Below are 27,406 nucleotides of genomic sequence, written 5' to 3'. Positions count from 1 at the left end.
CCAAGCAACTTCTGCTCATCAAAGAGAACTTTGAGAGGGGCAGAAACCACTGAGTGGCAGCTAGAAGGATGGTGATCCTTAAAAGCAATGCATGGTGAGCACTTCCTACATGACACTAATGTCACCCTCCCAGTGATGTCACATCACTGAGGTCAATCCCCAGTGTCTCTCTGTGTGTATGTGTGTGTGTGTGTCAGGGTGGGACTGGGAGGTAGATCCAGCCTAGGGACAAGATGACCTCCTTCTTAATCTTTTTCTGAACTCATGAGTCCTTGAATGTCTTAATGAAAGAAGAAGGCTATGGCAACACACACCCACACTAGTTCACAATTCATTTTAAAGAATTGGTCTCCAGACCCCTGGAAGCTGTCCAGATATCCTGGCCATTAACCAGAACCTCTGATCCAATGGCTCTCTACTGCATGGAGCCACCCCCTCTTGGGAAATATCACCCCTTCAGGATGAACCCAAGAAATACCCAACCTTCCCTGCCCTTTCCCCTAGCCTCAGTTTTTATTTCATGAGTATCTTGTCTGCCTGCCCAGTTGCCTGACATCCAGTGCCAGGAAAGCCCAGTGCCACTGTAGCCGCTGGGGCAACTAGAGCTGTCCTGGGGCTCTGGCATCTGGGTAGGTCTCTGCTGGAATGCCCGACCCCTGCCAGGCAGGGCTAGTGTTCAACAGAGGGGTCAGATCAGCGGGCCAACTGGGAAAGAGCCAGGGCCCACTGGCTGTCTGACCCACTAGGAGAGCCAAGGAGAGGAGGACTAGAGGAGGTACAGGAGAGGTGGGCAGAAGCGAGGAAATGAAAAAAGGGAGACAGGGAGCCCAGGGAAGGAAGGAGGTGAGGGCCAGAGAAGGGCACTGAAGAGAATGAAAGCAAAGAAATAACTCAGTGGGGACAGGGCCTACATTGCCATAGAAAGCCCACCAGCACCAAGTCCAATCTCCTCTATTGCACAGGTGGGGAGACTGAGGCCCCAGAGGGAGAAAGGCGCTTGTCCAAGATCCCACTGCCTTTCCCTGGCAGAGTTTCCAACACACAGGGGGTCAACAGAGATAGGGCGGGCAACTTCCAAATCTCCATCTCACTGGCCAGAAAGATACTCATTACAACAGTAATTATAATAGGGAAATTTTAACAATGACAATAGAAGATTGAGTAAATAAATTCTAGTTTACCCATAGCATTGAATACTTTATAACAAAAAGAACTTGTAGATTAAATTTAACGTCAGTAAATGATTGCAACATACATTAAAGACCTGTTTATAAAACCAAAATAGTAAATATGTTCAGTGAAGAAAGACTACAAGGAGGAAATACACCAAAGTGTTAACATTTATTATCTCTGGCAAGAATATTGAAAATTATTTCTGTCTTCTTTTTGCATGTCTATATTTTCCATCTTTTCTTTAATAAGCATGCATTGTTTTGTAATAAGAAAAAGCAGTAAAAAGTTATGTGTCAAATTTTTAAAAATCTGTCTCCAATTCAGACTTTTCTCCTGAGCCCCTGGCTTCAAAACCCACTAGCCAGGCAGCCAGGCCCAGAGCCAGCAAACAGGGTCACAGGCTCCTTCCCTCCTCTGGCTCCTGCAATTTTAACTCCACGGTGTCTTTGAATTCCAGGGCTTTCTCTCTTTCCCCACAGCCACACCCCAGCCTGGGCTACTGCTTGGTCTCAGGCCAGGGCCCTGCAGCCTGCCGGCTGGTCTCCCTGACACCTGGCCTGGCCCCTTCCACTCCACCTTCTTCATGTTGCAAGCTGAGCAACTTTTGTTACAAGTTTCATCCAAACATGTCTCTCCCACCTGCAAAATAAGTTGGTGGTTCCCAAGTGCTCAGAGGAAAAAACCTATAGGCCTTCAAGCCTCTTTGCATATCTCGTTTCCCAGATTCCCCTCTTTCAAGGAGGAGGAGGACCACACACACACACACACACACACACACACATTTCCCACCTTTGCTCCTACTTGGTAGAATCCCTAGCAGTTAAGACGCACCTCATGCCACCCTCCCCTCACACATGCCCTTAATTCACACCCCAATTCATTCCTCCTTGTCTGCACTCACTGGGTATTGGTTTCACCTTCTCCCCTGGCCGGTCAGAGGCTGATTCTTATGGTTTGGCTGTAGACTCCTGTAGAGCCCAGCCTTCTGACAGGGACAACTCCAAAGGGCAGCAGGGCAAGTCCCAAAGCAGGGCCTGGGCATGGGACTGCCTCGGGGGACTGGCGAGCTCAAAATGTGAGCACACACACAGCCCCTCCCTCAGCCCCCAGCACACTGCACAGGGTCTGCATCTGCCCCCACCGTAGCTGACCCGCACTTCCCTCAGTCCACGACCCCTGACATCCTGCAGCAAAGCCACAATCCCACCCACATGCACATCCCGGCACAGAATGTGCAACCCTCACACTACTCTTCACTCCAGAAGGCTTCTGCCTAGCCCTGTAGTTTGGGACTTCAAGAATCAGACTGCATGCCTGCAAACAAACACACACACCCGTCACACCCCAAGACATGGCCACAACACAGTGATTGTATCTCACTGTGTAGCCAGGGAAGAAGCATTCCATGTGGCAGTGGCATATGGACACCAGAGTCACACTGGCCATCTACACAGCCTGGCTCCAACACACTCAAGCTGTGTGGCCTGGCTGCAAGTCATCTCACCTCTCTGAGCGTCAGATTCCTCAATTGTAAAATTGAAGTAACAATAGTACCTACACCATAAGGCTATTGTGAAGATGAAATAAGTTAATATATGTAAAGTGCTCAGAACAGTGCCTGGCACAGAGTAAGTGCTAGAGTGTTTGTTGTTATTATTACACGTCTCAAAAATGTATACCTATATACACACAATTCAGAACCTTATTGCAAAAGTGACATATGTGTGTGTGCGAGTGCATGCATGTGGTTTGTGTGCAACCTTATGAATAAATGATTACCTAAGTGGTATGATTTAGAGGGGACTACCCACACCTCCACCCATAATCAGCACCATTACCTGAAATTCCACCAATATAGCATATATTATTTGAGTCTTGAAGGCCATTCCTTTTCAGCAATCCCCTATTAAAATGCACATACCCCTTGGGGGGTGTTAAGCCTTATCAACTAACACCTTAGTTGTCAGCTAACACCTTAGTTATCAGCTAACACCTTAGATATCACTTAACACTTTAGTTGACAACTAACACCTTAGTTGACAGCTAACACCTTAGTTGACAGCCAGCTGAGAGCAAGACCCTGCCGGACGGGCTTTTGGAAGAAGGACAGGAATAGGAGAAATAGAGGGGCTTCAATAGGGTCAAGAGGCGGGCACCAGGGCCAAACCCCACCAATTTTCCAATGCCACCAAGCTACTGCTGCCCTGAAGTGTATAGAAGGGATGGATTCCTTCCTTCCAGCTGATGTCACCAGGTGTAGGTGGGGGTGAGGCAGAAGAAAAGGGAAATCACGTGCAAGGTGTTCCCCACAGCAGCTGGTGAGTGTTGGCACAGTCAGCCTGAGCCTGCCTGGGAAGGTGGATGGAGGTTGGGATCTGGAATCTCTGTACCCTGCCGCCTCTTCTGTAGTTCCTGTGACTGCTCTATCCAAGTCCTCCTTTCCCCACCAGCCAGGAGCTAAACTAATGGAGTTAGGTGGAGGCAGTACAGGTAGATGGGTTTGGTGACCTCTCCACCTCCAATTTCCATCACCCAGAACTGCTGCTCTGAAAGCCTAGGGCTAGTCTCCGATTGGGCCCTAAGGGGCCGCTTCCCTCCCATTGACCTTAGAGGTCAGTACTGCCAGCTCCTGCTCAGAGCCAACCATGTCTCTGGCATTTATCATTTTATCCAAAGCCATTCCCGTTTCCTGCCTGGACCACTCCTGTGTGTAATGAAAGCCATAAGCTCATTAAGTTGGGGTGAAAAAGGACTTCCTTTGATTTGTCCTCAATTTACCTCCCTCAAGCTTCAAAGAGGCCTCCCACATCCACAGAGATGAAGCTTTGATGACCAAAGTAGAGGCCCCTGTGTTCACAATGTTCGCAATTTGGAACATTTAAACCCAATTCATTTCTACCAACAGTGGAGTTCAAGGATTCTTGGAATGTCAGAGCTAGAAGGGTGGTCAGAGATCTAGTCCCACTACACCCTCCCCAACCCCTGCACATCATCCAAATTAGGAGACTGAGGCCCAACAACATTATTAATCCCTTATATATGAACCCACTGACAGAGTGGATAAAGCTTTTTAGCATGTGTTCCTACATGGAATCCTCAGAACAATCCTGCAAGTAAAGGATGATTGTTATCTCCAGTTTAGAGGGAGGAAATTGAGGGTCAGAACTGCTTGAGAACTTGCCCAAGGTCTCAGAGCAAGGAGGGGTGGACTCCAACCCAAGCCTTCTCTGGACGGCACTTTCTGGCATGAGGGAGTGGTTACAGCATGGACTTTGGAGCCAAATAGACCTGAGATTGAGTCCCAGTTACACCACTTCCTAGCTGTGTGGCTTTGGACTTTCAGCGAGCTCCCTAAGTCTCAGTTTCTTCCTCTGAAACCCAGGGGTGACAACTACCACTCTCATGAGATTGTTGTCAAGATGAAAGAAGCTGATGCATTGTAAAGTGCTTATTCATTCAGTCCACACATGTTCAGTGAGTATCTACTATGTGCCAGCCATTATCTTGCTCCTTGAGATACAGCAGTGAACAAAATCAGGCAGCAACCCCCGCCTTCATGGAGCTTACAGGCCAGGAGAGTGTAGAAGCACATAAATAAATAAGTGAGCAAGGTAAATAATTTTAGCTAGGCATGAGTGGTGGGCAGGAAATAAAGCAGAGGTGTGGGATAGAGCATGACTAGGTAGGTGGCAGGAAGTGACTTTAGATTGAGATGATGTTTGAGCTGTGACCTGAATGAGGACAGGGAGTTGGCCAGGTGAAGATAGGAAGTCAGAGTGTCGGGCAGAGGGAGAGGCAAGTTCAAAGGCTCCAAGGTGAAAACTCAGATGACTTCCTTGTGTGTATCTCTTACTGTGACCATTCTACTGAGCTCCAGGCAACGTGACACCTCTGCTTGGCTATCTAATGGGATCTTGAACTTAATGTGGCCAGAGCAGAGCTCTTGCTTTCCCCCTAAACCTTCCTTCCCCCAGTGTTCCCCAGTTCAGTAAACGGCATCACTATCTACCCGCTTGCTCCAGCCACAAACCTAGGAGTTACCCTTGAATCTTTCTTTTTCTCACCTCCTGCATTCAATCCATCAGCAAGTCTAGCTCTAATTCTGAAATATATCCTAATCCATCCACCCCTCCCCACCTCCTCTTCCACCACCCTGGTTCAAGCTACCTTCTCTGCTCATCCAGATTATGGGAGGAGTCTGCCGACGGGCCTCCCCTCACCACCCCTTCCCCACAACCTATTCTCCACACAGAGACCAGGGTGATTTTTCTTTTAAAAATGCAAATCAGATCAAGTCACTCTCTTGCTTAACCACCCCCTCCCACCACTGGCATCTAGTCTCACTTAGAACAAAACCACAAGTCCTCGCCATGGCTCCCAGGGCCCTGCCCTCCAACAGGACAGAACCCATAGCATGTAGTAAGTGCTCAGAAAATGGTGGGTAAAAAACAAGGGAGGGGAGGGGAGACAGGAGGGGGAGGAGGGACTCTGGAAACTCACAGAGGTTGATTGTATCCCCAGCCTATGGCCAGGAGGAGGTCTGAGGCAGCCTCCTCTTTAGCCCTCACCTCTCCTGACTGAAGGAAGAGGCCTCCCCTTACTGGTCCAGCCTCACTCTTCCTCCACACGGGGAGAGAGAGCTGAGGCCACAGCAACAGGAGAGTTTGCTGATGGGAGATTTTGGAAGGGGAAGAGAAGGAATCCAAGGGAAACCGTGAAGAAGCCTGAGAAGAACTGGCAGAGAGGCAGGAGGACCAGGAGAGAGCACAGATCAGATGAAACCCAGGAAGGAGCCCAGCGACAAGAGGTCGGGCAAGTGTGTCAAGACACCAGGCGGGTGTTGTCAAGGCCCAAGGGTGGGGGGAGGAGATGACCTTCAGTCACCCAGACATCGCTGGTTTTCGCAGTGACAGCAGGGAGTGGGAGGCCGGCCAGGCCAGGAGACAGTGAGCACAGCTGACTGTTTGAGTCTATTGGCCGTGAGACGGGAGGCCAGCAGGAGGGCGGGAGCTTGAGGGGGGCAACTGGGCGGAGGAGGGGAGTTTTTCAGATGGGAAAAACTGGAATGTATTTGTAGGCTGAGGGCAAGCAGCCAGGAGAGGGGAGATAATTACTGGAGTGTGGTCCTCTGGAGGATGGGCTGGTAGGACTTACGAGGAGGAGGGCCACTCCTTCCTCTGTGGAGGGTGGGGGCGAGGAGGCAAGAGGGCAGCTGAAAAGGGGAAGAGGGGAAAGGACTGGAGCCTGTGGCTGCCAGCCTCCTAGTATACCCCTTCACTTCCCCACCCTGCCAGCCTTCACCCACAAAGGACTCCAACTCTGCATTCTCATTTAAGGAATGATTGGGGGTGGGCGCAGTGAAGTGGAGGTGCTGCGGCCACCCCTTCCCCTGCCCTGGGCCTATGGGAACCTTCCCAAATTTGGCTCAGGTGGCAGTGAGAAAATAAGTGGAACACGCCCCTGGGTGGCCTCTCTCCCTGGCTCCCTTGCCAGATTTCCTCATGACCCCGATCAGCACTGTGAACCACCAACCCCTATGCCCACCACCTTAACTCACACCCCTGCCTCAGTGTGCATGGAAAATGAGCCTGGCCCTGGGACTGGGGTCACTGGTGGGGATGCCATCACTAACCCAAGCCTGATGGCCCCATGCTGCTCGAGGCCCACAGGTTCTGTGCCAGGACTCATGCATACATAAGAATCCACAATTAATGCCCCCAAAGATCTTATGAGCAAGGCAGATTTCTGATGCCCTTTTTACAGTTTGTGAAACTGATCTTAAATAGATGCCATCGACTGCCTAAAGCCACCCAGTGTCATTGACCGAGGAAAAAAATTCCCCAGGAATATTCAGTCCTAGATCTTAGAGCGTGTATCCAGAGATGACTGTCACTGAAGAAGAAAGGGCCCCCGGATCATATCCTGGTGCAACCCCTCCCAATACCAACGGGAAAATGGAGGGCCTGCCATGGAGAGTAACTTGCTGATGGTCACAGGTGAATGAAATTCAGGATCCTTATCTCCTGACTCCCTGCCCTGTAGAGCCGCCACCTGCCCTACAGGGTCATGGAGGAGGCAGGGTGTATGAAGCCACGGAGAAGAGCCAAGAATACACTAGCCTCGGTGATCTTGGAGAACAGGACCATATCTGCCTGTTAACTATTCTGATAAAAACTCTGCCACAAGTAAATATGTATTGAATAGATGCATAGAAAAATGGCTGGAGCCTTGATTGAAAGCTCGATTCCCAGACTGGAAGAGACACTATCTATGAGCCTCTCAGCCTCCTCCCAGTGATCACTCCGGAACATCCCCCAAGACCCCTCTTGACCATGCTGAGGAAGCAGAGGCCTCGCCATATCACAAACACACACGCATACACCCTACTGCCCTCCTCAGTTGGGAAGGCTAAAGAAGAAAATTCCTTCTTTCCTAAGGCCCACAGGGAACAGCTTTGTGGCTGGGGCTGGCACATCCACAGCTGCCTGTCTTCTAGACCCTAGGGCCTGCTCAATTCTCTGGGGCCTGCCCTCCTTTCCACTCTTCCCATTACCCTATCACCCAACTTATCCATCCCACCCACCCTCTGCCATGTGCTTGGGGAGGGCCTCGTGCCTATTCAGACACAGGAAGCAGTAGAAACATTTACTGTCACACATGGGCACAAGCACACATCCTCCTGGCTCTCTCTCTCTCTCTCATTCCATCTCTCTCTACACACACACACACACACACACACACACACACTCCTGGCTACGCACACTCATGCATATGCCACTATATACACACACTGCCACATGTAGGCATGCATGCTCCCAAACAGATCTATGACAGAAACCCATTCAGTCAGATGTAAGTACACATGTCTCCTGCCAGGGCCAGTCTGTGGGGTGTCTTTTTTCTAGATGGATCTGTCTTTGTTGGGGTGAGGGAGATAAGAAAGAATGGAGGCTGGGCAGGACAGTGAATGTAATTCTGTCTCTTGTGGTTGGAAAGGCTCTAGGGTCCAAAGAACATGAGCCAGGGCTTGGACCTAATTCCTCTTTGCTTCCTCATGCCCTTACCTCTCTGTTGGGCTCTTCCTAAAGCTCAGCCTCCTGCCCCGCACCCAGCCTGGGGCTCTGGCCAGGCTCTGCTCCACCTGGTCTTCGGGGTGCCAAACATGGGACCAGGGCTCAAGTGACAGGCTCATCTTACCCAGCCTCAGAAGCTGTTCTGATGTGGAGGCAGGTCCCCTAGGCCAGAGGTCACCTAGCGGCCATCTTCCTCTGAGGGAGTGCAGCCCCCATCCTCTGAGGCCTTCCCTGAAGTGAAAGCAGGAGATTTCCCCAAAGAGGAAGTTATGCTTCCCCACCTCACACCAACAGGCCCAGCCTGGATCCTGCTGACAGGAAGTGAGAAAAGAAGAGGGCATTGGGGCCATCAGAGCTGCGGGTAAAAGGTAGGAGGCACTGCCTGGCCCTTGCTGTGCTGAACCCTCACTGCAGATTCCCCAAGACCCTCATTCCACCCCTCAACTTGTCTCCCCCAGCTTGCCTCTCCTCCCTTCACCATCCCTCTCCTGATCCTCTCATGAAAAATGGATGGAGCTTTTATTAAACTGTTTTCTCTTCAAAGGAGGTTTCAATTTTTAATGCCTTGCCAGGGTGGGGGAGACAGACTAGCCCAGACAGACCATGGGGGCGGGGGGCAGGGAGGTCTGAGGTGGGGGAGAGGGGAGGGAGAAGGGGGCCTCCTGGCCTGCCTGAGGGTCGGGGAAGCAGGAAGCAGAAGAAGAGATACCTGCCAAGAGAGGTCTTTAGTCTTTGGGGGTGGAAATGCTTTTCTGGGCTGGACACAGCTCCTCCCTTCTCCCTCTGCTCTTCCCCTTGGACTGCAAGATCTTCAAGGACAGTGGACCAGCTTGGGATGAACACCTAATGTGTGCTAGGCCCAGTACTGGCCTGGCATTCGATGTCTAGAAGCCGCATCGACTCATCGTGCTAGCTCACCAATGGGAGGCCGTACCACAGAGTGAGAAACAAAGACTCTGGAGTCAGCCTGCCTGTCTTCCAATTCTGACCTCATTGTTTGCTTGCTGTGGGATGCTGAGCAAATCACTTAATACCTCTGAGCCTCAGTTTCCCCATATGTGGAATGGGTCTAGCAGTACCTGCCTTGTAGTGCTGCTGTGAAGATGCAGTGAGACTGTGTATGTCAATTGCACATATATGTCTGACACTTAGTAAGCTCACAATACATCCTTATGGTGATGGTGTGATAATCAGCGTTCACATCTTATACATGATGAGGCTGAGTCTCCAGGAAGTTAAGGGTTGAGGTTTAAATTCACAGCCCCACTAAATAGTGGAGCCAGAATTTGGACTCATTTTTTTTTTGGCTCAAGTGCCTAAGTTTGTGCCTATCTGTCACACAGCCTCTCAAAGTGTAGAATTCTGCCTTTTTGTGAACACCCCCAGCAGCTGGCACATAGTTGACACTCAGAAAGCAAGCACTGAATAATTGTTCCTACTATCTTAAGTTTTGCTGTCTTATCCAAACATAGTCTCAATTTACTATGTGTTCCCCTTAGACTAATCACTTTATTCCTCTGGTGACTGAGACTGGAATCCCCCACCTCCTTCCCTGGCTCCTCTGGCAGATGAAGCCAGTGTGGGAAAGAGGGACAGGGAGGAACCCAGTTATTGGCAGAGATAATAATCCCCCAGTAGAACCAGACAGCCCAAGACAGGGATCCACAGTCTCAGCCCAAAATGCCCATCACAATGTTAGGTACATGGTTTGGGTCTGCATTTTGAGTATGTGCTTTCATCCTGTCTATTTTGGGGTTTGCATTTGCTAATTGCAAAAGTAACACATGATAACTGTAGAAAATTTGGCAAATACAGAAAAACACATAAAAGAAGAGGAACTCTGCTTTGAATCCACAATGGCCATAGGGTTGATGTGACCGTGATTGGTCCACATGCGTCTTCTCTGAATTCTGAAGCCAGAGGCTCAAGTTCAAGACAAATACTGTGGTGCATGCATGTGAAGGAAGAAAGCATGAGGCCTAGCTGAATTAAAGTCCACCATGGAACCAGCAGTGGCCTAGGCATCTCCAGTGAGAAGGAAATGAGGACCTTTGTTCCTACGGATCTGGTCTTGCTCCAAGTGAAAAAATGAAAGAAGAGTTGGTTCTAATTGATACATTGGAGAAAAACAAATACTTACGGTCACTGAGTTTTCAGGTATTGGTGATTTTGATGCACCATGAAGATGTTTTAGAAATTTTTTCATCAACTTTAAGCATTTTCAGTGCATTGTTTATGTTGAAAGGGGGAATTTGTTTTTCATTTGGGAGGTGATCTCTAATTTATTGAAAAACATATTTTTCCTGTTCAGCTGCATTGGAGCAGTCACTTCATTTCAGTGGAAGAATCTATGTGTGCAAGGCCAGTGGGGAAACTACTCTGGGCCCAGAATCCAAACCACTACCACCCAAGAGAGGCTCAAACCAGTTTTGGAAGGAGAGCCAGGGTTGTAAGCACCAAGCTTCAGACAACACAAACACTGAAGCAGCAGTAGGTGGGGTGTAAGGAACAATACGCTCTGATTCTCTTCAATGACATCAGAGCTTCTCTGTCTTCACACCCCACCTTGTGTCCCGTGTGTGTGGTCATCATGCCAACTGGCGTTTTCCTCACCAATATTTTCAAGCACCATTACACCAATGAAGTTCAGTCTAAGCTTGTCCCTGAAACTAAAAATCACTTCAATTCTGACAGGAAGCACCATCCCCAACGGTAGCAAGTGATTATCGTGGCACAGTTGAGAAGATGCTAAGCAAAAGCTGCTTACATCGAAAAGGAGTGTACATTAAAATTGATGAGGATGTGGGCTAAAGATAAAGTTGGCATCACTGGCAAAAAAAATTAATTTAAAAAACTTAAAGGCAAATCACTTGAAAAGCAGATTGTATTGCATTTAGAGGTTGCATATTCATCCCAGCTTGCACAAACTTAGAGAAGCTGGAACCAGCAGATGGAAACATTTCAGTTTCAACCCACTTACTTTTTTAGACAATTTACTTAGAATCGCAGGTAAAATTTCAAAGTTCATGACAATATTGCTGAACAACCAGGGCAGGAAGAATGAGTTGAAAATGAATTCCCAAATTATTCTCCCCCAAAATAAAAATTTTAAAATTCAGAAAACAGACAAACATGCTCAAAGACTGCAAAAAAAAAACCTTCCCCATAGTACCTGGAAATTACTATTGCATGGAAAAACATTGACTGGAGACATTTATTTTCAACCAATTTATAATTTCAACTGATTTGCTGTTGTCACTGATTTTTGACAAGTGTGTTTCTGACATATTACCAAATCCTCAAAGATCTCACTCTCTTGGGTCTTCGATGGGACATACTGGGGCTAGTGAACAGATACTATATCAGGAAGCAGACAGAACACTTCCTAGCTTTGTACCCTGTGATCCAAATGCTCCTCATCTTTGAGCCATAGTTTTCTCTTCTGTGAAATGGGGGAAACAACCATCCCTGTTATTATTTCCAGAGCTATTGAAATGAAGGAGTTAAGAAAGTTTGCTCAGGAATCAGGAATCGGTGTGCTTGGCTCTGCTGCCTAGAATTCGTTTATTTAACCTTCTCAGGCCTTATTATCCCCATGTACAAAATGTGGCTGTACCTTCCTCAATGACAGCTTGACATCATAGGTGTAAAGTAGCTGGCACACAGTACATGTTAAATAAATGTTAGTTGTCATTATGGGAAATGTCCAATTTGGAGAATTGTGAGGCACTATTATTATTTTCACAACTGCTCACCATTCCCTGACAGTCTAGGAGCTGGGGGAAATCAGGGACTTAACGTTACCTGTTTATGTATCTGTTACAGAACACAGACACGGTAGTCACCATGACATGAAGCTTTTGATTCCTACTTTCCTATTCACCCTCTGGCTGAATTGATCACTTTAGTTTTTTTCTTTTCTTTTTACTTTTTAAATTTTTTACAGAGACAGGGTCTTGCTATGTTTTGGGAACATAGGCTGGTCTCAAACTCCCGGTCTCAAGCAATCCTCCCACTTCAGGCTTGCAAAGTGCTGGGATTATAGGTGTGAGCTACCGCACTGGAACTTGGATCTCTTTAAAAGATCCAAATGAGTCCATGCGGTCCCAATGAATAGAAAGAGAACTGACAAATTTGTAATGGAAACATCTGAGACACACACCTCTGACACCCCTACTGCTCCTGGCCTGGCCTGAGCCTTGCCCCTGCAGAGTGTGCCAACAAGAGCCCTGGGCCAGGCTGAAGGAGCCCAGCCTTCCAGTCTCAGCTCTGCTCTGGCTTGCTGGAAGACCTTGAGCAAGTATCTGGCCTTCTCTGGGCCTCCGTGTCCATGAGTGGAACATGAAGGGGCGGGGATACATTAGTCCTTCTGAATGTTGGGATGGAATACACAGACTTTCCCTTTTAAGGAAAAAAATTTCAGCAGAACCACCCTCTGAGAAGGTATCAATGAACACCTCTAACTCCCCACCACAGGTCTGCATGTTCCCCAACTTGAGAAGCTCCCTCAGAACTGAATCCAGGCTATGAAAATAGCTTGCAATTGTGAATCATAGCTGTTTTCATAAGTGTAACAAAAATTGTGTTTAGCATCAAAATAAGACCATAAAAAAGCTCAATTCTCAGAGAACTTGTGGCCTCTGGGAATATATCAGTAGGCCTCCCCTCCCCCAAATTGCACAAACCCCAGGTTGAGAATCACTGGACCAGATGTTTGCCAACATGCTCTGGTCTGAAGCCTACTTTTATGGTCTATTGGCTGTGTCTACACCTTATGTTTGGGGGATCCAGATATTCCCCCTCTTGCTGTCCCATCCTGTCACGCCACAGCCCCTCTGGCAGGCTAGACAGAACAATCTCCTCACTTCCCTGCCAGGGACCCTGATGCAGGCAGGTGACCAGAGTGGAAAACAGGCCTGGGCAGGAGTCAGCCTGAGGTGCCACCTTTCACCTTATACTGGGACTGGGGTCATGTCCCTTGGGACAACCCCAGGGGGGCCCCCATATTCAGCAGATGAAATGGAAAGGTGACTCTACATCTGAAGCTTCTGCTGCCATCGATCCACCACTGAGTATCTCCTAGAAAATGACCACTGGACTCCTAGAGCCCCTCCACATTCCTGGGGCACCCTTCTCCTTCCTTGCCAAGTGAACTCACCTAAAGAACAGGGAACTTGTTCTGCAGGTGCTGCTGACAGGAGGGAGAGGATGAGCGGGGGTGGGGGTGAGCAGGAAGCCAAGGACGGCCATCTCTCTATCCCCTTTTTTTCCTGAGAGGCTGCTGTGGGCAGGGGGTGCCCTGGACTGGCACAGAAGACAGGGCAGAAGGATCTAAGAGAGGCACTGCATGTCAGATAAGACCGCCATGCTTGGCATCTGCCAGGGACTGACTGCTGTATGACCTCACCTTCCTGGATGTCAGTTTACTCATTGAGAAGTGGGTGGAATCCTTGTTGTCGAGCAGCTAGGAGGAGGTTATGGGTGAGAAGGCTCTTTGGAAAGTGTAAAGCACTGTGCCCTGAACATATGTGTGTACAAACATGGAAGTCTGCAAACCCAATATGCTGTGGGGCCTCTCCTCTCCTGTATGTCTCTAATGCTCACACTTGAGCATGCAATGGAATTCCCCGGAGGGCTTGCTAAAACACAGATTGCTGGGCCTCACTCTGAGTCCCTGATCTAGTCTCAACTGGGTGGGGCCCAAGAAATTGCATTTCTGACAAGTTCACAGGTGATGCTGATGCTGCTGGTGCAGTAAGCACAGTTGGAAAGCCACTGCCCTACAACGTGAAAAGGGTTTCACATCCACTGTGCTGTCTGTGTATGTTCTTGCAAGTTGTGGTGCTCTTCCTATGATGGGGCGGTAAGGGGATCTGGACATGGAGTCGCAGCAATGCTGAACCACCGGCACCCTCCAGTCCCAAAGGGGCCTGGCCGGGAGATCTCTTAGCTTGCCCTGTTCCCCAGGCATCCCCTGTGAAGAGCGTGAAACAGCAATTGGGAGTTAGCCAGGAAAACTTCCCAACACACGCATTCAGCCACACTCACACAGACATCATGCACATACACATACTCATCTCACACCTATGTAACCTAGTGGCTAAATACAAAGATTTATGAGCAAAACTGCCAAAATTGGTCAGCTCCTCCGCTTCCTAAGGTGTGGCCTTGGGCAAGTCACTTAGCCTCTCTGTGCTTCAGTTTCCTCATCAATGAAAATAAGGGTAATAATAATACTTCGTGGGGTTTTTGAGAGACTCACGAGATAACAAATGGAAGTCTCTTGGAAGAACGCTAAATGTAGCAACTGTTATAGTTTTTAGCAGTGGGCTCCAGACTGTCAAAGGAAGCCTCAGTAAGAAAAAAGGCCAAGGCAGGGGCTGTAACTATTAATAAATTGACCCGGGTCAAAACAGCTTCCATGACCCACTTGGGAGGCAGGAGACCTAGACCCCAGTGTCAGATGTGTTTCTGACTCTCACTGTGTGCCCTTGGGCCAGTCCTTTGCCTTCTTTGGGCCTCAGCATCCCCATTCATCCCATAGGGGCTTCTTTCCAGCTCTGCCGCACTATGGGTTCGTGCCCAGTCGTGCATGGCAGAGACGACAGCTATAATGCCACAGGTTGACATCATGAAGGATGTAAGGATGAAACCTGTGGCCCAGTTTCATCTTTACTGGAGCTCAGAGAAGCTGTTCACCCTCCCCTGAACGAGGCACTGTCAGCAACTCTCCCACTGCCTTCTCTTCAACTGGCTCCTCAGCCAGAGCCATGGGGCTGCTGCGGTAGGGGTGAGTGGCGGATGCCAGAGAGAAGATGTGTGACAACCCCTTTACCTCCAGGGCCTACCTGTCTAGCTACTAAGCACCATCGTGTCCGTCATCTCACCACAGCCCCAGAAGTCAGGAAGTACAGGAGAAAATGGAGGCTCTGAGAGGTGGTTTCTTGCCCAAGGTACCAGGACTCAAATCCGGGACAGCCAGATCCCAAGTCCACTGCCCTGGCCTGTGAATATCTGTGCGGGTCGGACCTGGGAAGAGTCCCCACATTGCCTCTACTTTCTCTCTTCAAGATTTTGCTTAAATGTCACCTTCTGATATGGTTTGGCTGTGTCCCCACCCAAATCTCATCTCAAATTGTAGCTCTCGTAATTCCCACATGTTGTGGCAGGGACATGGTGAGAGATCATTGAATCATGGGGGTGGTTTTCCCCATACTGTCCTCACGGTAGTGAATAAGTCTCATGAGATCTGACACTTTTATAAGGGGAAACCCCTTTCGCTTGGTTCTTATTTTCTCTTGTCTGCTACCATGTAAGACATGCCTTTCACCTTCTGCCATGATTGTGAGACCTCCCCAGCCAAGTGAAACTGTGAGTCCATTAAACCTCTTGTTCTTTATAAATTACCTAGTCTCGGGTATGTCTTTAGCAACATCATGAAAACGGACTAATATACCTTCTCAATAAGGTCTCATGCCAGCCCCACCCTCATAATCCCAATGCTCTTTATCATGCTGTATTTTCTCTTTTTCTATAGCTTTTATTGCTTTCTAACATGACATATAAATTTCTTGTTTGTTGTGTTTATTATTTATTGTGCGTCTCCCTCCACTAGCATGTACGCTCTCTGCAAGGAGGGAGCTTTGTCCATGTTGCTTACTGCAGTATCTCCAGTGCCTAGAACAGTGCCTGATGCTTGATAGGCGCTTGCTATGTGTGGCCTGAATGTTTGCGTCCTTCCAGAGTTCACATGTTGAAATCTTAACCTCCAAGGTGATGGTATTAGGGGGTGGGGACTTGGAAAGGTGATTAGGATTAGTGCCTTTATAAAACATGACAGACTGAGAGAGACCCCCCCCACCCATGCAATCCCTTCCACCACGTGAGGACACAGTGAGAAGGCACCACCTATGAACCAGGAAGTGGGCCGTCACCAGACTCAGAGTCTGCCAGTGCTTTGATCTCAGACTTCTAGTCTCCAGAACTGTGAGAAATAAATTTCCGTTCCTTATAAATTACCCAATCTCAGGTATTAGCAGACTAAGATGGTGCTCAATAGATATTTTTGAAACGAGCAACACATGGGATAGCAGCTCAGAACACTGTGGTGGCATGATGGCGGTGAAAACTGCCTCTTAGCTGGTCTCCCTCTATGCCTCTCTGAGTGTGTGGATAACTTTCTGAAATGCAAAGCTGACTGGGTGCCTCCCCTGCCTCAAACCTTTCCAGGGTTCCCCATCTGCCATATGAAAAACTCCAAACACCTTGGTCTTTCGCGATGTGGCCTCCTAGCCCCTCTAGCTTCATCTCTAAGGCCACCAACACACTCTCTACCCTCCAATCAAAAGGGGTTACTTGCAGCGTTCCCAATATGCCCCATCTTTGTGCTTTTGTGACTGCCTTTGTGCCTTTGCCCATGTGGTTCTCTCTGCCCCCGGGACCTCTATCTGCAGCCTAGCAAACTCCTAGTCATCCTCTACGCTTCATTCAACTCCCCATCTTGGAAGCCTTTCCTAATGAGATAATAACTTCTAGCATTCCCTGACTCTCTATGACCTGCTCCCCACCCCGACTGCCTTGGTGCCTCCCAAACCCCATGAAGAGACCTTGGTTCCAGCGCATCTGTATCATGATCTGTAGCCTTCATGTATGTCTCACTCAGTGAGTTAGGAGCCCCTTGAGGGCAGAGATCCATCATGTCTTAGTGACCTTTGTGTCCCCAGTGCCCAGCCACATAGTAGTTGCATGATGGATGCACACATGAATGAATAGAGGTCCACAAAGGCATTAATGAACAGCCACGAGTATCTCCATTTTCAAAAGCCCTATGGGAGACTGATGTACCTTTATGGTAGGATTGCACTGGCTAAGACATTAAGTTCTTTTGCTTTGGGCTAGAATTGTATCACCTCAATGAGACAACCCTGGGTATCTTACAGAAAAACCAATCATATCTTCCATCTCACTGTCTGCCATCTATGCCTGTCATTCCCACCCATGTCCATTTATCTCATCCATCATCTGTGCACATGCATCCCCTAGATTCCTGCCTGTGTGCCTTCTTTCCATTGATCCATCAGAGGCAGCACAGCCTAGCCAGGTTACAGCTCTGGATCAGACGGCACAGGTTCATTCCCAGGCCTAACCAAGCTATACGATTTTGTGCATGTAAATTAACCTTTCTGAACCCCAATTCTCTTATCTGTAAGGAGGGGTTGATATTAATGGCCCCTTCCTCATGTGGCTGTTGTGAGAGTAAATAAACTCATTTTTGGTAAGCGCTGGTAATAGTAAATATTCACTCAGTGATGGTGACTCTTACAACAGTCATTTGTGGCACATATTTTCATCAAAGAATTTGGGACAACTGAACAAAAGCTATAAAATATAAAATCATAAAATATGTACTTGAGAGAAATCAAGATAAAGAAAAACAACGTTAGGAAAATAATAAAGCCAGGATTAAGATTGGCACACACACCGAACGCCTTCCCTGACATTCTACACAGTTACTAGAGCCTGTGTTTGGCTCTCAGCTCCCCTGGTAGCCTCATAAAAGAAGGAAATGCCATCAATTATGAGCTTCACGGCATCTGTAACATAAAAATAAGCCAAGTATTCCAGAGAAGCATGGCTTTTGCCAGTTGGAAAAGGAATCACATCTTTCCCTTGGCCCTTTACAAATAGGGCCCTGGGAGAAGCGACCACACGATGTCTTCAACAACATCCTTGCAGTGAGTACCAGGTTGACATTGCCACGATGTTTCCTCCAACCATCTACTACAAGGACCTGTGGCAATTCTCCAAGAATAACAATAAATAATAATAGCCAGGCTGGGCGTGGTGGCTCACGCCTGTAATCCCAGCACTTTGAGAGGCCAAGGTAGGCAGATCACCTGAGGTCAGGAGTTCGAGACTAGCCTGGCCAACATGGTAAAACCCTGTTTCTACTAAAAATACAAAAATTAGCCGGGTGTGGTGGTGGGCTCCTGTTATCCCAGCTACTCGGGAGGCTGAGGCAGGAGAATTGCTTGAACCCGGGAGGTGGAGGTTGCCGTGAGCCGAGATCATGCCATCACACTCCAGCCTAGGTGACAGAGCAAGACTCCATCTCAAAAATAATAATAATAATAATAGCCATTATTTACTACGTGCTAGGCATTAAATCCCCGAAAAGGTAAACACTGTTATTATCCTCACTTTACAAAGAAGGAAACTGAGTCGGGTGAAATCACTTGCCCAGGAACACACAGGGAGGAAGTGGTGGGGCTAGAGGCAAACCCAGGTCTGTCTATTACCGAAGCCCAGATTCACAGTCCCTGTGCTTTCCTGCCTCCTGAAAGGCCACAGTACAGTGGTCTCTGTACTCAGCCCTCTGATGAGCTGCTTTAAGCAAAGGAGAATATAAGACTCCAAGAGATAGGGTGGGCAGTCTGCCCTTCAGGCAGTCCACCATAAATATGATCTCTGCCAACTTAGCTATTGGTAAGGCTAGGGTGACAGGAGCTTCAAGGCTGAGTTATCTGGAGTGAGATCCTGGGCTGTCGCAGTCGTGAGTTATGGATGTAGGGCAGAGTCCCAGGCTCAGCCAGAGAGCCAGGCAGAGGGGAGGGATCAAGAAGGCCTAGGGGTGATTCTCACAGAGGGGCCCGGAGGGGTATCCACTGATGAGGGCAATCATCTGCCCCCTGCCCCCGCTCCCCACCCTGCAACAGTTTTCAATCCCCTCCAATGTGCAAAGTTCTCCACCTTCGAGCCAGGCCCACAACCATTTCTGTCTGGAACACTTTCAAAGCAGGCGTTACCAATTGCCACTGTGGCCATTTAAAAACTTTCAATAAAACACCCCTAGAACATCTAATTTAGGCAATATAGCTTCCCGGGGAACCCTCCAAGATGGATTAGTCGCAAATTGCACCCCCAGGTAACTGAGTGATTTGACCTGCTGTATTAAATTGTTGGAGAGAAACCAATTGAATGCTGGGGGGCCGCCTGCCAATGCTGATGATTTGAGTTTTCGGGTAGTTGACCTTAAGTCGTGCTTTCTGACAACAATTGGGCAGTAGGATCAATTGTCTCTTGCAGTCAGTCCTAGAGCATGACAATAAAACCATATCAACAGTGGAGAGAAAAATACCGATCTTTCTATTCTCACTTGCAGGGGGCCCAGCCCAGGCATCCGGTTTGCCCAGAAATCGCATGGAGTCATTCAAAAACTCAAGTTCAGAAGAAGCAGGGTTGGGGAAGAAGGCAAAATCCATACACCTCTCAAATGTGGTATCCAATTTCCCAAGAGACCGTCCTTTCCTGCTAACCGTGCTTTATATTTTTCCAATACAGAGTGTTTGGTAGACAAGATCCATCAGAGCCTTGGTGTGAGGGCAGGGGGAGAAGAGGAATGGGGAGGAATCATTCAAAAGGATGGTTCTAGGTGGCCAAATGGTTAAGGACTACTGGCCCAGGGCACCTCTGGCTCCATGAGGGTGGTCACACCTGAAGTGACCCTCTAAACCCTGCCTACCAAAACCCCCAAACAGGCACACACAAACTCCACATCTTCAAGTGCTTCCTCTAAACCCATTAGCTTTGGAAATTGGCTCAAAATAAACACTGGGAGAGGTGGGGTTTGTGTGTATATGTGAGGGTTTTAGGGGGATGGGGAGGGGTCATTCCAAGTGGAAGGAACTGCCTGAGCAGTGGCTTGTAAGCAGGTAAGTACCCTTGGTGGTCTGGAGACATTCAGTTCTCAGGGTGCATTGTAATGCAAGGAGGAGGGGTGGAAGGGCCTTGAATGGCAGCTTAAGGAATTTACACTTTGTCCTCTAGGTACTGGGGAGTCAGAGACTGTTCCTAGGGTGGCAAAAATGACAGATTGGTTAAGAGGTCAAATCCGGAGTCAGATTATCTGAGTTCAAAGGCTGGCTCTGCAGGTTACTAGCAATGTGAACTGCAGCAAGTTGCATAATATTGCTGCACCTCAGTACAGTTATCTGTGAAATGAGAATGACAGCAGTAATCCTCACCACATCGAACCGTTGTGGAGCTGACCTAAACTATCACACATGTAAGGTGCTTAGAGCAGTGCTTGACACACAGTAACTGCTCACTTGGCGTTAGCCTGTTTCAGTATTAGCAGGTTAGATGATGAAGCATTTGCTTTACGTGCGTGCTCTCAGTTAATCCTTACAATCTTATGAGATAGGTATGATTCTTGTCCCCACTTTACAGATAAGGAAACTGAGGCACAGAGAAGTTAAGTAACTAACATGGATCTGGAGTTTAAGAAGGTAGCTTCAGTGTGTAGAACATGAGAGTGCAACCGGAAGGCAGAATAAAACTGGGGGGAGGTAAAGGCAGAGATTGGAGTGAGAGGCTGTGGGGGCTTGGACAATAAGAGCAGTGGCTGGAAGAAAGCAAGGCAGAAGGGACGGGAGAGACCTGGGCCTCAGCTCTCCCATGCAGGGCTCAGGCTCTTACAAGGCCTGTCTGGGCCTCCAGTAATCTCAAGGTAGTTGTGCCCTAGAAGCCTCATGGATACCTACAAAACAGTGGATATCTCAGACCCCACCAATGGGCAGGACATGAGGACGGAGCAGCTCCGTGTTTTAGCCCTCTAGCCAGGACAGTCCCAGCCAGTAGACGGAGCAGATGGGAAGTATGGTTGGAGCCAGGGGCCACGGACTGAGTCAAAGACTCAGTTAGCCTCCTACTCATCCAGGGCCCCCAGTTTACCTAGGTATGAATTCGGGAGATGGCTCCAGGGTATTTCTGATTAGAGTTGAGCAAAGGAGCTCCCTGGGGGAGGTAGGAGCAAGGTGACAGCCCAAGGCAAGAGCCAGGTAGGAGAGTCAGAGGTGGAGAGAAACACTTCACTGCCCTGCCCCTCCTCAGCAAATCCAAGTTGGTGTCCCACTCTCAGACACCTAATAGTGTGTTGGGGAGAGAGCAGTGGAGGATTGATTGTGCCCCTGAAACTCAAGAGTCTGCCCTCCTCCTGACTGCTGAGATGCATGGTGGGTCAGCAGAGAGCTCGGCCCCAGGGCCAAGAGCCATAGCCTAGGATTGGCTGAAGGCAAATCTTTTCTGGCCGCCTGCAGCAGCCACAACCCCTTCCCCTGCTGTCCCCTCCCCTACCCTAAGCAGAGACCATGTTCTGTCCAGGCTCCTTGGTGAAGACTGAACAAACAAAAGCAGCTGGGCACTGTCTGGGGTGTCTTTGGGTTAAGACAGGGGAGGGGGTGTCTGGCAGTCCCTTACATGCAGGTGTGACAAGAAACCTCTCTCATTCAGGGCCATCCACATGATGGCAAATCGAAGTTTTCATCTGAGTGTCAGAAGATCTGGGGCTGAGACCCATATTTTTGACCACCTTGCCATATGAACATGGGAACGTCTTTTCTCCTCTCTGGGCTGTGGGATTGCATTAAAAGTTCTTGGTGCATTTGCCTGAAAACCCATCTCAAATCCAACAGAAGCCTGGGAGTCTGGGTTTCATGGGCACTGGCTCTCTGCCATATCAGCCGGTCCCATCTTAATCCAAGCATCCAGGGACTGAAACCATCCTCAGCAGATCAGGGTGGGGTGTGGGGAGAAGAGAAGCCTTGGAAGCAGAGAGTCCTGGGCTTGAAATCCCAGCTCTGTCACTGGAAGACTGTGTGATGCTGGGCAAGTCTTGTGGCTTCTAGGCGTACTGTGCCCCTGTCAATAAACAGGGATAATACTTCCTCCCTCATAGGAGGATAGTGAGGAGGATTTCATGAGATGATACATTTAAAGCCCCCACAATCACTCAGAAATCAGCCTCCCTACTCAGCCCACTGTCCCAGCAAAACATGTTCCCACACCAAAGATCAGCCTGGCAAAGAAGGGGACAACAATGGCCAGAGGGCTGACCCAGACTGTAGAGGCAGCTTCCACCTCAAAAGAGGGCAGAGTGCAATGCAGAGGCCTTGGATAGGGGTGGAGGGGGACAGATGGAGAGCTGGGGAAGGGAAGGTGGAGGAAAAGGGGACCTCTGAATGGAAAGGAAGGGAAAGCGGGGCAGGAGAAAGAAGTTTATTATTCTTCCTGCAGACCAATCATGGGGCTCCTGGAGTGTCGAATTCCAGCTCCTGCAGCCAGATGTGACCTGTTCCTGTTATCATGGAATATTAATCAGAGGGGCCCTTGGGTAATTGGGGAGTTTTGATTAGAGAAATAGCCCTTATAATAATAAGCAGGCAAGAGCCTGGGGAAACCCACCCCCAACCCTGGCCGCCCACCTCTTAGGCTTCGTACTTCTGAAGCCCAGGGACCTGGACCAAGGAGGTGGAGGGTATGGAGATGGGGATGGTACTATAGCTACGGTGGGGACCAGGAATGGACCTGGGGTGGGGAATGCAAGGATAGATAGGTAAGAATAGGACTAGAGACCGGAGGTCTGAGGGCCCAGGGCTAGCCTGGCTTCACTCACCTCCCCATCAATCATCACATTAGCTGTTCCCTGGGCTTCCCCCTCGCTAAGCCCCCCTCCCAGCCAGCCCTCTGCCGGCACTGCTGCCTCAGGCTCTGGCCCTGCTGGGACCCCAGCTCTGTTGCAGGCTGCACATGGCCCCTGGGCTCTGTATATTTAGACGGTTAATGAATCTTCCTGTTTGGCTGGGCTAGACTAGAGCCCGAGATGGAGGGAACGAAGGCAAGAATGAAGAGGGGGGATCAGCACAACTGTCCCCGCCCCAGAGTCCCTCTGATCACAGGGATCTCAGACCCCCAAGTTCAGAAAGAGCCCAAGCAGTCCAACTCAAGGAATCCAGAAGGTTACTCACAATCCCACCCTCACCCTCAATTCCCTAGGGGACCACAGCTTGAAGACAGAAGACCTGGGTTCTAGTCTTAACTCTTGATTTGTCCTCTCCTGGGCCTCAGCTGCTTCTTTGTATTGAGGGCATAGGACTCAATTTATCCTTTTACCAAACTCACTCAGCACCCACCATATATCAAGCTTTGTACTGGGCACTGGAGATTCAGAGAGAAAAAACCATAGCCTAGTCCCTACCATGGAAGAGATCACCGACTAATGATAGAGGCAGACTTGTGACTGTCTTGCATTGAGATAATAATCACAATAATAAAATTGATTGAGTGGTTATGACCTGCCGGGCACTCTGCTAAGGGCTTTATATTTATTATCTCGTGGCATCTTTTCAACTGTCCAACATCATAGGCAATATCAGTTTCCCCATTTTACAGATGAGGAAACTGAGTTACTGAGAGTTGAAGACTCCAGTGGTTGCAATCCAATGTGCTGGAGTCAAGAAAGACATATGCATAACTCAGGAGGGGAACTAGGAAAGTTTTTCAAAGAAGACAGTTAATATACGCTGCACCAAAAATTTTTCATTGTTACTGGACATGTGTGTTTGTGTATATGTGTGTGCGTGTGTGTGCGTGCATGCGTGTGTGTGTGTGTGTGTGTGTGTGTGTGTGTATAGATTAAGAAAACTACCCAGACATAGCCAGGAGTGATGGCCTGTGCCTGTAGTCCCAGTTACTTGGGAGGTTGAGGTGGGAGGATCACTTGGGCCCAGGAGTTTGAGTCCAGCCTGGGCAACATAATGAGACCCCATCTTGAAAAAAAAAAAAAATCACAAAAGCCCAAAACTACCCAGAGGAGATGGCTTTTGAAGCCATTTTTTTTTATATTAGAAAACCACTGCAAATACATAAGATTGTGATGAAAATTGCTCACACAGGGCCTTCATCCACATTGGAATTGCTGGGTCAGAGCGCCTCCACATTTTTAGGTTTTTGATGTGTATTGTTACTTAAGTGGCTCCCAGACAGGCTGTACCTGCTGAAACTTCACCAGCAAAACAGCGTATAGAAAGGGGCCATTTAGTGTAGCACTGTCCTTCTTTCAAAACTGCCTGCAACTCTAGTGAACCTGTTGAGGATGGGAACAAAATAGTCTCTGGATCTTAGGTTGTGGTGCATGGGCTTCTCCTAAACATGGCAACACATCCTTCTCGACTTTCCCAGAGCATTCTAGGCCATTATCAGAGTGAGTGTCCCTGCTTCAGAATTGGATCTCTGGCTGCTAGAGTCTGGCTGGGGAGGAGCATGGATTCTGGGTGGGAGAAATACTCATTCATTATTCATTGGCTCTTTACTGAGGCCCAGGTTCACTGCCCCGAAGGAACACACATTCTGATGGGAAATGGTGGCTCCTTACATCAAAGCATACGTGTTTTTTTCACAAAGCAGTTTTGCTTACATCATCCCATTTACATTCAACAGATGAAGAAGATACCCAGGCCTCAAGAGAAGACATGGCACATATGACTATTAGGGGCAGAGTCAGGCCTCAAATGCGAGTCTCCTGATCCTGACTCCAGGCTCCTTGTAAGGGTCACAGCAGCCTAGGTATTCCTCCCTTTGGGACTTCAGGAGTCAAGCCTAGGACAGCTAAGCCCTGGGGCTGGGGCCTGGAGGAGCTTGCAGCCCACCACCCATTGCACCCTCACTGGGGACATAGCAACCCGGGCTGAGGCCAGGGAATATTAGCAGCTGAACCTTCTGATTCAAGTGGCTAAGCAGTGACCAGCCCGTAGAGGACTCGGGCTGCCTAAGGCTGAGTGAAGGAACCAAAGGCTGCCTCGGGACTCAAAGGGTAGTAAATGGCGTTTACGAAGCAATTACCAGGGCTGGGCACTGTTCTAAGGGCTGGATGTGTGTTTATTCACTTAATCCTCACTACAGTCTCATGAGATGGCTGCTACTCTCAGTGTCATCTTTTGGATGAATAAAACAGAAGCACGGAGGGGTTTAAGTAAATGGCTCAAGAATTCACAACTAGAAAGTGGTAAAGCTGGAATGTAAACCCTGGCAGCCTGACTCCAGAATCTGGGCTGTTAACTACCACACTAGACAGCCTCTGAAGCCACGTGGCCAGCATCAAGGGGTACAGACCAAAGGGCCCAGGTTCCTTCTTTCTCCAAGCTGCCACCATCACTTTGCCTTACTAGTGTGGTGAAGCACCTAAGTACTTGGACTCCGCATTCCGGCTTCTCAAGTTCCAGTCCTTACATACAACTTCCTAGCCACGTGCCTGTGGGCGAGGCACTTTCCCTCTCTGAGCCTCCATTTCCTCATCTGTAAAACAGAAATAATCACAGTCCTACCTCAGATAGGGACCTCTCTGAGACATCACTGCAGCAGAAGGTGTCAATGAAGTAATGCACATGAAGTGTGGAGCATGGTGCCTGGCCCACAATAAGTACTCAGTAAATGTTAGCGTTTATTGTAAGGGAATATAATAAGATGTTGACTCTCCAGATTGGCTGGATGGTAAAGTGAGCAGTGAAGGGCAGGGATAGAGCCCTGGGGTGACTGTCCCAGCCCAGCCAAGCCCATTCAAGTCGACAAACATTTCAAAGGTTTATTGATATTGCCTCTGTGCTAAACTCTGTGCTGGGCATCATTCCAGGTGAGATGCAGAAATGAAACACTGGCTCTGTCCTCCAGAAGCTCACAATCTACTGGGGGAGACAGACACTGGCAGTGTGAGCAGAAGCGCTGTGAGGGCTGAGAAGAGAACACCAACTTGGCCTGGCTTGGGGGTCAGAAATGTCCGTGAATAATAGGCTCAATAGGAGTTTGCCAGACAACGGGCAAGGGGACGGGCATTTCTGGCTGATGAGAGCACATACAGAAAGGCGCAGAGGCTTAAGGGTGCCTGTTCTGGTCAGGTGCCAAGGAGTAGCTTTGGGTTGTTGGTGTGTAAGGTGTGCGTGGTGGGGAGGGGTAGAGGTGAGAGACTAAGGAGATGGGCAAGGGCCAGATCACCCACGACCCTGAAAGCCATGCTGAAGAGTTGGGGAATGATGGACAAATATGAAAGGTAAGCAGCGATGGGCAAGATCAGAATTGAGTTTTGGAAAGATGGCCCTGGCTGCTGTTTTGCAAGAGAGAGAGGTGGAATGGAAGCAGGGAGACCAGTCAGAAGGCTATTGCCATTGTCCAGGTAAGAGATAAAGGTAGTACAAACCAGAGTGGCTGGTGGTATTAGGGGTGCTCAGAAATGGGCAGAGTCAAGTTCAGTTCAGAGGCAGAACTGAAGGCAGATTTCAAGGATAACCCGGAAGTTTCTAGCTTGGGTCCATCTGTAGTAAGACCTCAGCTGAGCTGGGAGCAGACACCTGTGCTCTGTAAGCTTGTCTCTTTTTCCCTTTTGGTGTTTATTTTCATTTCCTTTCGGTTTCCTTGTAAAGTTCATTTCAGAAAATTCCCATCTTGTTTCAGCTGAACTGAAGGGAAGGGAAATGTTCCCATACTCTAGCTGGGACCAGGGTTCCCAGGGCCTCCCAGAACCCAAGCTTTGCTGGTGACCACTCCAGCAGAGTGATGATGCACAAACTTGGAAAGATCTGGTGGACTAGGGCCCAGGAGAAGGCTTGGCATAGCTTGGCAGGCCTGCCGGGTGGGCGGGGGATGGGGGAGGTTTGGCCAGTATCAGGGGATGGCAGCGCAGAGAGAGAAGTGAGCAAATCCTGTCTTTTGCCTGTTTCAAAGGAGAATGGCTCCCTTCCCTGGGCAATGCCCCTAAGTCATGGCTATCTCTGGTCTTTTCTTCTCTGGATTTCACACTCCCAGGCCCCACTGAGGGGTGTCTCCCAGGAGCATCTGTGCCAGGGGGAGGGATCCCAGAGTCCACAGTAAATACCCCATGATGGGGGTGGGGTGGGGGATGAGAGGGATTAGGAGGCTGTGTGGCGGTTTGAAGAGGCAATGGGCTGGAAGTCGGAAGACCTGGGTGAGGGCCAGTCCCGGTGAACTCTCTGTGTGACTGTGAGCAGTTCCTTCTTCTCCTCTTTGGGCCTCAGTTTTCCCATCCATCCAACAAGGGGGCTGGACTCGAAGGTCTCTAGACGCCCTAACAGCTTGAAAGATTCCATTCTCTTCTCTGAATCTGCCCAGGGGGAGGCCTTGGGGGCTGGGGCACCGGCAGGGGCTGAGAATTCCATAGCAATTTGCATGTGAAAGCATGTTACTGCCATGGCTATTAGTGTGTGCAGGGGGGCTGAACACAGTGCTAGGACAGCTAACTGTCAGGCTGGCCGGAAAGGCCCAGGCAGCCTGGGTGGGGGAGGGAAGAAGGCCTGCCCTGAGGTATGCGTGCAGAG

At 49.1% G+C, this 27,406-nt stretch overlaps 2 annotated features.

Moving 5' to 3' along the window:
- Positions 22,785 to 23,285: an enhancer, noted in NCBI's record as "H3K4me1 hESC enhancer chrX:68070598-68071098 (GRCh37/hg19 assembly coordinates)". NCBI's record gives its function as "activates a minimal SCP1, AML or CMV promoter by ChIP-STARR-seq in primed H9 embryonic stem cells {active_cell/tissue: H9 hESC(primed)}" and the evidence as "EXISTENCE:reporter gene assay evidence [ECO:0000049][PMID:30033119]".
- Positions 26,906 to 27,406: an enhancer, noted in NCBI's record as "OCT4-NANOG-H3K4me1 hESC enhancer chrX:68066477-68066977 (GRCh37/hg19 assembly coordinates)". NCBI's record gives its function as "activates a minimal SCP1, AML or CMV promoter by ChIP-STARR-seq in primed H9 embryonic stem cells {active_cell/tissue: H9 hESC(primed)}" and the evidence as "EXISTENCE:reporter gene assay evidence [ECO:0000049][PMID:30033119]".

This window comes from Homo sapiens, chromosome X, assembly GCF_000001405.40.
Source record: "Homo sapiens chromosome X, GRCh38.p14 Primary Assembly".
NCBI classification, from domain to species: Eukaryota; Metazoa; Chordata; class Mammalia; order Primates; family Hominidae; genus Homo; species Homo sapiens.
This window is presented reverse-complemented; position numbering and strand designations above follow the sequence as displayed.